Genomic DNA, 13,574 nt, shown 5'->3' on the forward strand with positions numbered 1-13,574 from the left:
GATAGATTTTTTTTAAAGAACAAAGAGAAATTTTAGAAGTAAAAAATTTATTGAATGAATACCAAATACATTTGAAAGCTTCAATAATAGACTAGATTATAGAGAAGAAATAATCACAAAACTTGAAGACAGGTCTTTTGAAATAATTTAGTTAGACAAAAATAAAGAAAAATGAATAAAAATAATAAGCAAAGAATTCATGACATTTGGGACAACATAAAGCCACCAAATATTCAAATGATCAGTGTCTTTAAGGGCAAAAAGAGAACAAAAGGATTGGAAAACCTATTTATTAAAATGTTAAAGGAAAACTTCCTAAGTCTAGCAAGAGACTTAGCCATCCAGATACAAGAGGTTAAGGGTCCCCAAGCAGATACAATGCAATAAAGGAACAAAAAGTATGCAAAACAACCAGAAAACAATTAGCAATATGATAGGAACAAAAAAAAACTCACATATCAATGATAACTTTGAATGTAAATGGATTAAATTATCCATTTAAAAAATAGAGACTGGCTGAATAAAGAAATATTATCTAACTATAAGCTGCCTACAAGAAACACACTTTACCTGTAAAAACACATATAGGAGAGATGAAATATTCCATGAAAATGGAAACCAAAAGTGAGCAGGAGTAGCTACACTTAGATAAAACAGACTTTAAGTCAAAAGCAGAAAAAAGACAAGGAAGGTCACTATGTAATGATAAAGGGATATATTCAGCAAGAAGCTATAACAATTATAAATATTTATGCACCCAACACTGGAGCATCCTGATATATAATGGATCTAAAGGGAGAGATAGATCCCAATACAATAATATTTATGGACTTCAACACACCACTCTTAGCACTGAACAGATCATCTAGACAAAAATCTACAAGGAAATGTTGAATTTAAACTGACTGTAAACCAAATAGGACTAACAGACATTTACAGAACATTTTATCCAACAACTGCAAAATACACATTTTTCTCATCAACACATGGAATATTCTCCAGGATATATTCCATGTTAGGCCACAAAGCAAGTCTCAATATATTTTTCAAAAATCAAAATCATACCATTATCTTCTCAGACAATAATGTAATAAAACTAGCAATCAACACCAATAGGAACTTTGGAGTCTATAGAAATACATGGAAATTAAACAATGTAATTCTTAATTACCAGGGGGTCAATGAATAAATTAAGATGGAAATCAAATAATTTCTTTAAACAAATGAAAATGGAAACACAACACATCAAAACTTATGGGATGCAGAAAAGTGCTAAGAAGGAAGTTTATAGCAATGTAAGCCTACATCAAAAAGTAGAAAGATTTCAAATTCACAACCTAATGTTGTATCTCAAGGAACTAGAAAAGCAAGAACCAACCAAAACCAAAATTAGCAAAAGAAAAGAAATTATAAAAATCAAAGCAAAACTAAATAAAATAAAGACTATATAAAAAATATATGAAGCATCAATGAAACAAAGAAAGTTGGTTCTTAGAAAAGATAAACAAAATTGATAAACCTCTAACTGTACTAATCAAGAAAAGCAGAGAGAAGGCCCCAATAAACAAAATCAGAAATGAAAAAGGAGACATTGCAACTGGTACCAAAGAAATACAAAAGATTAGCAGAGATTATTATGAACCACTATACACTAATGAACTGGACAACCTGAGGGAAATAAATAAATTCCTGGAAACATACAATCTACTGAGATTGAACAAGAAAGAAATAGAAAACCTGAACAGACTAGTAACGAGTAGTGAGACTGAATCAGTAATAAAAAGTCTCCCAACAAAGAAAAGCCCAGGGCTGGATAAATTCACAGCTGAATTATACCAAATACATAAAGAAGGACTAATATCAATCCTCCTGAAACTACTGAAAAAATTGAAGAGGAGAGAACTCTCTGTAACTCATTCTATGAGTCTAGCATTCTCCTGATGCCAAAATCAGAGAAGGATGAAACACAAAAAGAAAACTACTACTAACAGCCCTGGTGAAGACAGATATAAAAAACCTCAGCAAAATACTAGCAAATTGAATCCAAAAGTGCATCAAAAAGACAGCACACCATGACCAAGGGAGATTTATACCAGGGATACAAGAATGGTTCAACATACACAAATCAATAAACATGATACATCACATCAACAAAATGAAACTGTCTCTGTAAGAACCACTTGGTAAAAAATTAAATATAATAAAAATTCTAAAAAGCAGAATGAAGGACAAAACCACATGATCATCTCAATAGACAGAGAAAAAGCTTTTGATAAAAGTCGACATCCTTTCATGATAAAAACTAGCAACAAACTCGGAATAGAAGGAGCATACCTCAATATAATAAAGGCCATGTATGAAAAGCCATGGCTAACATCATACTGAATGGAGACAAGCTGAAAGCCTTTCCCATAAGATCTGGAACAAGACAAGGATGCCCATTTTCACCACTCCTATTCAACATAGTACTGGAAGTCCTAGCCAGAGCAATTAGACAAGAGAAAGAAAAAGAAGACATCCAAACTGTAAAAGAGAATGTCAAATTGTCCCTCCTTACTGATGACATGATCTTACATCTAGAAAACCCTAAATATTCCATCAGAAAACTCTTACAAATGGTAAACAAATTAAGTTAAATTGCAAGATAGAAAATCAACATACAAAAATCAATAACATTTCCATTCACCAACAATGAACCGGCTGAGAAAGAAATCAGGAAAGCAATCCCATTTACAATAGCCAAAAATAAAAATAAAAATAAAACACTTAGGAGTAAATTTAACCAAGAAAGTAAAAGATATCCTCAAGAAAAACTACAAAACTCTAATGAACGAAATTGAAGAAGACACAAATAAATTGAAAGACATCTCATGCTCATGGGTCAGAAGAATTAATATCATTAAAATGATCATACTGCCCTAAGCAATCTACAGATTCAATGCAAACACTATCAAAAGGACAATGTCATTTTTCACAGATTTCAAAAAGCAATCCTAAAATGTATATGGAAACAAAAAGGAGCCCAAACAGCCAACACAGTCCCATGCAAAAAGAACAAAACTGGAGGCATCATACTACCTGACTTTAAAATATATCACAAGACTACATTAACCAAAACAGCATAATATTGATATAAAAACAGACATGATCAACAGACTAGAATGGTAAGTCCAGAAATAAATCCGTGTGCTTACAGCCAAATGATTTTCAATAAAGGCACCAAGAACATGCACTGGAGAAAGGACACCCTCTTTAATAAACGCTGCTGGGAAAATTGGATATCCATATGTAGAAGAATGAAACTGGATCACTATCTCTTCACATATACAAAAATCAACACAAAGTGAATTAAAGACTTAATCATAAGGCTGGGTGCAGTGGCTCATGCCTGTAATCCTAGCACTTTGGGAGGCTGAGGCAGGTGGATCATGAGGTCAAGAGATCGAGACCATCCTGGCCAACATGATGAAACCCTGTCTCTACTAAAAATACAAAAAATTAGCTGGGCATGGTGGCACATGCCTGTAATCCAAGCTATTCGGGAGGCTGAGGCAGGAGAATAACTTGAACCTGGGAGGCAGAGGTTGCAGTGAGCCGAGATCATGCCACTGCACTCCAGCCTGGTGACAGAGTGAGACTTCATCTCAAAAAAAAAAAAAAAAAAAAGAAAGACTTAAACATAAAACCCAAAACTACAGAACTACTAGAAAAAAAAAATAGGTAAAACACTTCAAGACATCGGTCTAGGAAAAGATTTCATAGCTAAAACCTCAAAAGCACAGACAACTGTAATAAAAATAGACAAATTGGACTATATTAAACTAAAAAGCTGCACGCCAAAGGAAACAATCAACAGAGTGAAGAGACAACCTATTGAATGGGACAAAAGATTTGCAAAATATAGGTCTGATAAGATGTTAATATCCAAAAAACAAAAATAATAACAACAAAAATAACAACAAAAACCACAGGCTAAACACAGTGGCTCATGCCTGTAATGTCAGCACTTTGGGAAGCCAAGCAGGAGGATTACTTGAGCTCAGATGCTCAAGACTAGTCTGGGTAACATAGTGAGACCTCATCTCTACAAAAAATTTAAAAATTAGCTATGCATGGTGATTTGTGCCTGTGGTTCCAGCCACTTAGGAGGTTGAGGTGGGAGGATCACTTCAGCCCAGGTGGTCAAAGTTGCAGTGAAGCCATGATCTAGCCACTGCACTCCAGCCTGGGCAGCAGAGTAAGACACTGTCTCAAAAAAAAGAAGAAGAAGAAGGAGGAGGAGGAGGAGGAGGAGGAGGAGGAGGAGTGACATATTGGTGTTTATTAATGAAAACTGTTCTTTTGACCTTTCTGTGGGCTTGATATTGAGAGGTGAAGCCAGCTGGACTTCCTGGGCCAAATGGGGACTTGGAGAAATTTTCTGTCTTACAAGAGGATTGTAAAACGCACCAGTCAGCACTCTAGCTAGCAAGAGGTTTGTAAAATACACCAATCAGTGCTCTGTAAAAATGCACCAATCAGTACTCTGTAGCTAGCAAGAGGTTTGTAAAATGCACCAATTTGGCACTCTGTAAAATGGACCAATCAGCAGGATTCTAAAAGTAACCAATCACGTTGAGGATTGAGAAAAGGGCATTCTGATATGACAGAAACAGGACATGGAAGGGGACAAATAAGGGAATAAAAGCTGACCACCCCAGTCAGCAGTGGCAACCGACTCAGGTCCCCTTCCATGCTGTGGAAGCTTTGTTCTTTCACTTTTCACAATAAATCTTTCTGCTGCTCACTCTTTGCGTCTCTGCCATCTTTAAGAGCTGTAACACTCACTGCGAAGGTCCGCGGCTCCATTCTTGAAGTCAGCAAGACCATGAACCCACTGGAAGGAACTAACTCTGGACACATCCTGGGGGCTTGTCTGGGATTTTGCCACATGGTGAGTACCATCGGACCACTTTCACTGCTATTCTGTCCTATTTTTCCTTAGAATTCAGGGGCTAAACACTGGGCACCTGTCGGCCAGTTAAAAGCTACTAGTGCAGCTGCCAGACTAAAGACATGGGTGTCAGGCTTTCTAGGAAAGGGCTCTCTAACCACCCCCAACTCTTTGGAGTTGGGAGTGTTGGTTTGCCTGGAACCAGCTTCTGCTTTTTCAGTACTTCCGGGCTGAGCCGAGGGTCGACAGAGAGGAAAGCCATTCAGCACCTGGTTACCGACAAAAAGTTGGTTGACCCTGCAGCCATGAGCAGAACTCTCAAAGTCACATTGCCCAAGCGAGACTCACCCATCTATCCTATCTATCCTGAGCCTTGCCTCCTGGGTCCTAACACCTGTCAGACAAACTTCCTCCTGCCTCTCTTCTCCAAGGCCACTCCTGCTTCTAAAAACCACTCTCTGTCTCTGGTGCTTTTCTAGGTTCTCCTATAAGAATGATTTCTAGTGTAAATTTCAGGACTCTGTTCCCTTCTGTAGGCACCCAGCCTCACCAATCAGAAGGACATAATTTTTGCCCAAAGCCCCATCAGGGTGGGGGGACTATCTGGAATTTTAAGATCCCTCCTCAGACTAGCAGGCCTAACAAAGGCTATTCCCGAAGCTAGGATATGGGGAGCCTCGGAAATTATATCCTTCCTATGTCCTCAGAAGTGAGGACAAAAGGCATCACCCTTCAAACCCTAGAGATCCTTTCCCTCCCTCAAGGTATGGCCCTCCACTCCATTTTGAGGCATATTATCTTTATAGGACAAGGGTAAGGTCCCAATACTAACAGGAAAAAATGCTTAGGACTCTAACAGGTTTTTGAGAATGCATCAGTAAGGGCCACTAAATCCAATTTTTCTCAGTCCTCTGTAGTCTAAGAGGAAAGGCAAGGGTGCAGGTTTTCAAGAGTGCATCAGTAAGGGCCACTAAATCCAACCTTCCTTGGTCCTTTTTTCGGTCTAGGAGGAAAACTAGTGTTTCCACTGCTGCTTCAGTGAGCACAACTATTCCGATCAGCAGCATCCAGGGACCGTTGTGCGTTCTTACGGGGGAGGGAAAAAACAAACCAAAACTGTGGGTGGTTTTTTCTTTCAGATGAGAAACACTCGGGCCTCAAGAGGCTCACCCTTGAAATGCATCCTAAGCCATTGAGACCAATTTGATCCACAACCCCTGAAAAATAAACAGCTTATCTTTTTTCCTGCACTATGGCCTGGCCCCAATATTCTCTCCCTGATGGGGAAAAATGGCCACCTGAGGGAAGTATAAATTACAATACTATCCTGCAGCTTGACCTTTTCTGTAAGGGGGAAGGCAAATGGAATGAAATACCTTATGTCAAAGCTTTCTTTTCATTGAAGGATAATCTACAACTATGCAAAGCTTGCAATTTACATTCCACAAGAGGACCTCTCAGCTTACCTCCATATCCTAGCCTTCCTATAGCTCCCCTTTCTATTAATGATAAGTCTCCTCTAATCTCCCCTACCCAGAAGGAAACAAGCAAAGAAATCTCCAAGGGACCACAAAAACCCCTGGGCTATCGGTTATGTTCCCTTCAAGCTGTAGGGGGAGGAGAATTTGGCCCAACTCGGGTACATGTCCCCTTCTCCCTCTCTGATTTAAAGCAGATCAAGGTAGACATGGGGAAGTTTTCAGATGATCCTGATAGGTATTTAGATGTCCTACAGGGTCTAGGGCAAACCTTTGACCTCACTTGGAGAGATGTCATGCTATTGTTAGATCAAACCCTGGCCTTTAATGAAAAGAATGTGGCTTTAGCTGCAGCCTGAGAGTTTGGAGATACCTGGTACCTTAGTCAAGTAAATGATAGAATGACAGCCGAAGAAAGGGACAAATTCCCTACCAGTCAGCAAGCCATCCCCAGTATGGATCCCCACTGGGACCTCGACTCAGATCATGGGGACTGGAGTCACAAACAACTATTGACCTGTGTTCTAGAAGGACTAAGGAGAATAGAAAAAAACCCATAAATTATTCAGTGATGTCCACCATAACTCAGGGAAAGGAAGAATATCCTTCTGTCTTCCTTGAGCGGCTACAGGAGGCCTTAAGAAAATATACTCCCCTGTCACCTGACTCCCTTGAGGGTCAATTGATGCTAAAAGATAAGTTTATTACCCAATCAGCCACAGATATCAGGAGAAAGCTCCAAAAGCAAGCCCTGGGCCCTGAACAAAATCTGGAGGCATTATTAAACCTGGCAACCTTGGTGTTCTATAATAGGGACCAAGAGGAACAGGCCAAAAAGGAAAAGTGAGATCAGAGAAAGGCTGCAGCCTTAGTCATGGCCCTCAGACAAACCAACCTTGGTGGTTCAGAGAGGGCAGAAAATGGAGCAGGCCAATCACCTGGTACAGTTTGTTATCAGTGTGGTTTGCAAGGACACCTTAAAAAAGACTGTCCAACAAGAAACAAGCCACATCCTCGTCCATGTCCGCTATGACAAGGCAATCACTGGAAGGTGCACTGCCCCAGAGAACAAAGGTTCTCTGAGCCAGAAGCCCCCAACCAGATGATCCAACAACAGGACTGAGGGTGACCAGGGCAAGTGCCAGCTCATGTCATCACCCTTACTGAGCCCTGGGTAAGATTAACCGTTAAGGTCCAGGAAATTGACTTCCTCCTGGACACTGGTGTGGCCTTCTTGGTGTTAATCTCCTGCCCCAGACAGCTGTCCTCAAGGTCTGTTACCATCCGAGGAATCCTGAGACAGCCTGTAATCAGGTATTTGTCCCTCCTCCTCAGCTGTAATTGGGAGACTTTGCTCTTTTTATATGCCTTTATTGTTATGCCTGAAAGTCCCACACCTTATTAATGAGGGACATATTGGCCAAAGCTGGAGCTATTACCTATATGAATATGGGAACAAGTTACCCATTTGTTGTCCCCTTCTGGAGGAGGAAATCAACTCTGAAGTCTGGGCATTGGAAGGACAATTCAGAAGGGCAAAAAAATGCCCACCCAGTCCAAATCAGGCTAAAGGACCCCACTACTTTTCCTTATGAAACGCAATATCCCATAAGGCCTGAAGCTCATAAAGGATTACAGGATATTGTTAGACATTTAAAAGCTCAAGTCTTAGTAAGAAAATGCAACAGTCCCCACAACATCCCAATTCTAGGAGTACAAAAACCGAATAGTCAGTGGAGACTAGTGCAAGATCTTAGACTTATCAATGAGGCAGTAATTTCTCTATATCCAACCCCTATACCCTCCTCTCTCAAATACCAGAGGAAGCAGAATGGTTCACAGTTCTGGACCTTAAGGATACCTTCTTCTACATACCCCTGCACTCTGACTCCCAGTTTCTCTTTCCCTTTGAGGATCCCACACACCACACATCCCAACTTACATGGATGGTCTTGCCCCAAGGGTTTAGAGATAGCCCTCATCTGTTTGGTCAGGCACGGGCCCAAGATCTAGGCCACTTCTCAAGTCCAGGCACTCTGGTCCTTCAATATGTGGATGATTTACTTTTGGCTACCAGTTCAGAAGCCTCATGCCAGCAGGCTACTCTGGATCTCTTGAATTTTCTAGCTAATCCAAGGTACAAGGCCCAGCTCTGCCTACAACAACTCAGATATCTAGGCCTAATCTTAGCCAGAAGAACCAGGGCCCTCAGCAAGGAATGAATACAGCCTATACTGGCTTATCCTTGCCCTAAGACATGAAAATCATTGTGGGAGTTCCTTGGAATCACCGGCTTTTGCTGACTATGGATCCTCAGATACAGCGAGAAGGCCAGACCACTCTATACTCTAATCAAGGAAACCCAGAGGGCAAATACTCATCTAGTAGAATGGGAACCAGAGGCAGAAACAGCCTTCAAAACCTTAAAGCAGGCCCTAGCACAAGCTCCAGCCTTAAGCCTTCCACAGGACAAAACTTCTCTTTATGCGTCAGAGAAAGAGCTGGAATAGCTCTTGGAGTCCTTACTCAGACTCATGGGACAACCCCACATCAGTGGCATATCTAAGTAAGGAAACTGATGTAGTAGCAAAAGGCTGGCCTCACTGTTTATGGGTAGTTGTGGCAGTGGCCATCTTAGTATTAGAGGCTATCAAAATAATACAAGGAAAGGATTTCACTGTCTGGACTTCTCATGATGTAAATGGCATACTAGGTGCCAAAGGAAATTCATGGCTATCAGACAAACGCCTGCTTAGATACCAGGCACTACTCCTTGAGGGACCAGTGCTTCAAATACACACGTGTGTGGCCCTCAACCCTGCTATTTTTCTCCCAGAGGATGGAGAGCCAATCAAGCATGACTACCAACAAATTGTAGCCCAGACTTATGTCACCTGAGAGGATCTCTTAGAAGTCCCCTTAGCTAATCCTGACCTTAACCTATATACCAATGGAAGTTCATTTGTGGAGAATGGGATACGAAGGGCAGGTTATGCCATAGTTAATGATGTAACAGTACTTGAAAGTAAGCATCTTCCTCCAGGGACCAGCACTGTTAGCAGAACTAGTGGCACTTACCCAAGCCTTAGAACTGGGAAAGGGAAAAAGAATAAATGTGTATACAAATAGCAAATATGCTTATCTAATCCTACATGCCCATGCTGCAATGTGGGAAGAAAGGGAGTTCATAACCTCTGGGTGAACCCCCATTAAATACCACAAGGAAATCATTAAGTTATTGCATGTGGTGCAAAAACCTAAGGAGATGGCAGTCTTACACTGCCAAAGCCATCAAAAAGGTGAAGGAGAAAAGGCAGAAGGAAACTGTCGGGCAGATGCTGAGGCCAAAATTGCTGCCAGGTGGAACCTACCATTAGAAATACCTGTAGAAGGGCCACTGGTATGGAACAACCCTCTCCAAGAGATTAAGCCCCAGTATTTCCCAACTTAAACAGAATGGGGACTTTCACGGGGGCATAGTTTTCTCCCCTCAGGGTGGTTCACTACGGAAGAGGGAAAGGTACTCATACCTGAAGCCAGACAGTGGAAAATACTTAAGACCCTCCACCAAACTTTTCATATGGGTATTGAGAACACTCATCAAATGGCTAAATCTCTATTTACGGGTCCAAATCTCCTCTGGACCATCCAACAAGTAGTCAAAGCCTGTGAGGTGTGCCAAAGGAATAATCCCTTGGTCCATCATAAGGCCCCTCTGGGGGAACAAAGAATAGGGCACAATCCCAGAGAGGACTGGCAGTTAGACTTCACCCATATGCCTAAGTCTAAGGGATTTCAACACTTGTTGGTCTGTGTTGAAACCTTTACAAATTGGATAGAAGCCTTCCCCTGCAAGACAGAGAAGGCTCAGGAAGTGGTTAAAGTCCTAATGCATGAAATAATTCCTAGATTTGGGCTTCCCCAAAGCTTACAAAGTGACAATGGTCTGGCTTTTAAAGCCACGGTAACAGGGAATTTCCAGGGTGCTAGGGATATCATATTACCTCCACTGCGCCTGGAGGCCACAATCCTTAGGGAAGGTTGAGAAGGCAAATCCCTATAACCATGAATACCATCTTAACTTTCCAAGCCCCTCTATGCATCCAACACAACCCGTTATCAGGCCTGCCCCTGGGGGACCTATTATCCCATCAGTGTAATTACATCCTACAACTTCAAGCCCGAACTGATTATAGTAACTTCCGAGTCACCCAAACAGCTCCACTCAGATGGCTTGTCCACTTCTCAGAGCCTCCAAAAATCATCACCTCCTCCCTGCTTAACAAACAGTCTGGGTTTTTTAATAGCAAACATACTCCCTGCATGACCATTCACCCCTGGACCCCCTGCAGCAGTGCCCCCACCACTAGTGAATGCCTCCTCATCCCCTCTTTCAATTAATCTATTGAATGGTTCCTAGTAGATACAAAACGGCTTTTTCCCCCAATGGGAAGATAGAGCACAGGGAGCCACTCAGTTTGCTCCCAACACCCCTTTCCAGCCACTCACCGGAGCCACCTTGGCACGTACTCTAGGAGTATGGGAAAATGAAAACAACAAACTCACACACCTTTTTAACGTACACAACCAGTTCTGTCTACCCAGCCAAGACGTATTCTTCTTACATGGAATGTCAACCTATATCTGCCTCCCCACCAACTGGACAGGCACCTGCACCTTAGTCTTCCTAAGTCCCAATATAAACATTGCCCAGACCCTATCAGTGCTCCTCAAAGCACAAGTCCATCAGCACAGGGCCATACAACTAATACCCCTACTTATAGGGTTAGGAATGGCCACTGCTACAGGAACCGGAATAGCAGATTTATCCACTTCATTATCCTACTACCACACACTCTCAAAGCATTTCTCAGGCAGTTTGCAAGAAAGAACAAAATCTATCCTTACTCTACAATCCCAAATAGACTCTTTGGCAGCAGTGACTCTCTAAAACCACTGAGGCCTAACCTCCTCACTGCTGAGAAAGGAGGACTTTGCACCTTCTTAGGGGACGAGTGTTGCTTTTACACTAACCAGTCAGGGTTAATATGAGACGCCACCCGGCATTTACAGGAAAAGTCTTCTGAAATCAGACAATGCCTTTCAAATTCTTATACCATTCTCTGGAGTTGGGCAACATGGCTTCTCCCCTTTCTAGGTCTCATGACAACCATCTTGCTATTACTTGCCTTCGGGCCCTGTATTTTTAAGCTCTTTGTCAATTTGTTTCCTCCAGGATCGAGGCCATCAAGCTACAGATGGTTTTGCAAATTAAACCCCAAATGAGCTCAACTAACAACTTCTACCAAGGACCCCCTGGATCGACCCACTGGCCCTTTGATACCTAGAGAGTTTCCCTCTGGAGGATACTACAATTCAGGGTCTCTTCTTCACCCCTATCCAGCAGGAAGTAGCTAGAGCAGTCATTGCGCAATTCTCAAAAGCAGTTGGGGTGTCCTGTTTAAAGGGGGTATTGAGAGGTGAAGCCAGCTGGACTTCCTGGGTCGAGTAGAGACTTGGAGAACTTTTCTGTCTTACAAGAGGATTGTAAAATGCACCAATCAGTGCTCTGTAGCTAGCAAGAAGTTTGTAAAATGCACCAATCAGTTCTCTGTAAAATGGACCAATCAGTGCTCTGTAAAATGGACCAATCAGCGCTCTGTAAAATGGATCAATCAGCAGGATTCTAAAAGTAACCAATCGTGGGGAGAATTGAGAAAAGGGCATTCTGATAAGACAGAAACAGGACATGGGAGGGGACAAATAAGAGAAAGCTGGCCACCCCAGCCAGCGGCAGCAACTGGCTCGGGTCCCCTTCCACTCTGTGGAAGCTTTGTTCTTTCGCTCTTCACAATAAATCTTGCTGCTGCTCACTCTTTGGGTCTGTGCCATCTTTTAAGAACTGTAACACTCACCACAAAGGTCCGCAGCTCCATTCTTGAAGTCAGGGAGACCAGGAACCCACCGGAAGGAACTAACTCTGGACACAATATTTTTTTTTCTTTTTTTAAATTTTTTTCTTTATTTCTTCTAAAAAAAAGTGGGATGCATGTGCAGAACGTGCAGGTTTGTTGCATAGGTACACGTGTGCCATGGTGATTTGCTGCACCTATTGACCTGTTCTCCTCTAAGTTCCCTCTCCTCACCCCCTACCCTACAACAGGCCCTACAACATTCCCCTCTCTGTGTCCATGTGTTCTCATTGTTCAACTCCCACTTATGAGTGAGAACATGCAGTGTTTGGTTTTCTGTTCCTGTGTTAGTTTGCTGAGGATGATGGCTTCCAGCTTCATCCATGTCCCTGCAAAGGACATGATCTTATTTCTTTTTATGGCTGCATAATATTCCATGATATTTTTCAAAAGAAAATATTTGCTGCCAACAGAAGATTTTATATTAAAATCTGTATTTGCAGCTTTTACTGAAAAGAACCTAAGGCCTTGCCATATTGGGCTCATTTTCTCAAATAGCAACATTTAGCTGAACTGAATAGACAGAGAAAGTACTTTCCAGTCAGATCATATCTGGCCCACTTTCCTCGTGTATGTTACCCTCCTCACTCCTGTAGGCATTTGCATGTGTAGTCACAAGCAAATGTGGTTTAGAAATTGTTCAGTGAACCATGTTGGAAAATGTCCCTAAACACAAGTCCTAAAGATGGTCTGTTATATTATCTTACAAGCACACAGTGGAAGGAAAAACAGTTAAGTTTTCTATTTCTGCCACAGCTTCTATAATTATTACCTTTCTTGTGCCCTAGGTTAATATCTAAAAATAGCTTTATGCTTTCTCAAACACATTTCACCAGCTCCCTCTGCTGATCCAATCTGAAGGACAAAACAGCTTAAATTCCTTGTAAGTCCTGAACTTTAAAATCACATTTCTGGGGTTGGAGAACTCCAAGCATGAAAGAACTTGATGAGGTAATGGTCATCTAAATAACTTTCTCCTTTGGACAGCTCCTATGGTAATCCAAGCAAGAGTCAGGGTGTAGAAGTTTGTTTCCAAAAGTAGAACTCCTGTTTCGCTGAGAAAGCTGTAATTTGGGGTGATTTGGCGCCCTCTACAGACTATAATGGCAAAAGCGACGCTATCATGTGCTTCCCATAGCTTTAGGGCTTTGCCAGAACTATGACGTTGAGGAGGGTGGGGTAAAGGGGCAG

General features: G+C 41.7%; 1 annotated feature.

The window, feature by feature from the left end:
• Window positions 4,404–4,904: an enhancer, noted in NCBI's record as "H3K27ac hESC enhancer chr1:171274060-171274560 (GRCh37/hg19 assembly coordinates)". NCBI's record gives its function as "activates a minimal SCP1, AML or CMV promoter by ChIP-STARR-seq in primed H9 embryonic stem cells {active_cell/tissue: H9 hESC(primed)}" and the evidence as "EXISTENCE:reporter gene assay evidence [ECO:0000049][PMID:30033119]".

This window comes from Homo sapiens, chromosome 1 (assembly GCF_000001405.40).
Source record: "Homo sapiens chromosome 1, GRCh38.p14 Primary Assembly".
Classification (NCBI taxonomy): Eukaryota; Metazoa; Chordata; class Mammalia; order Primates; family Hominidae; genus Homo; species Homo sapiens.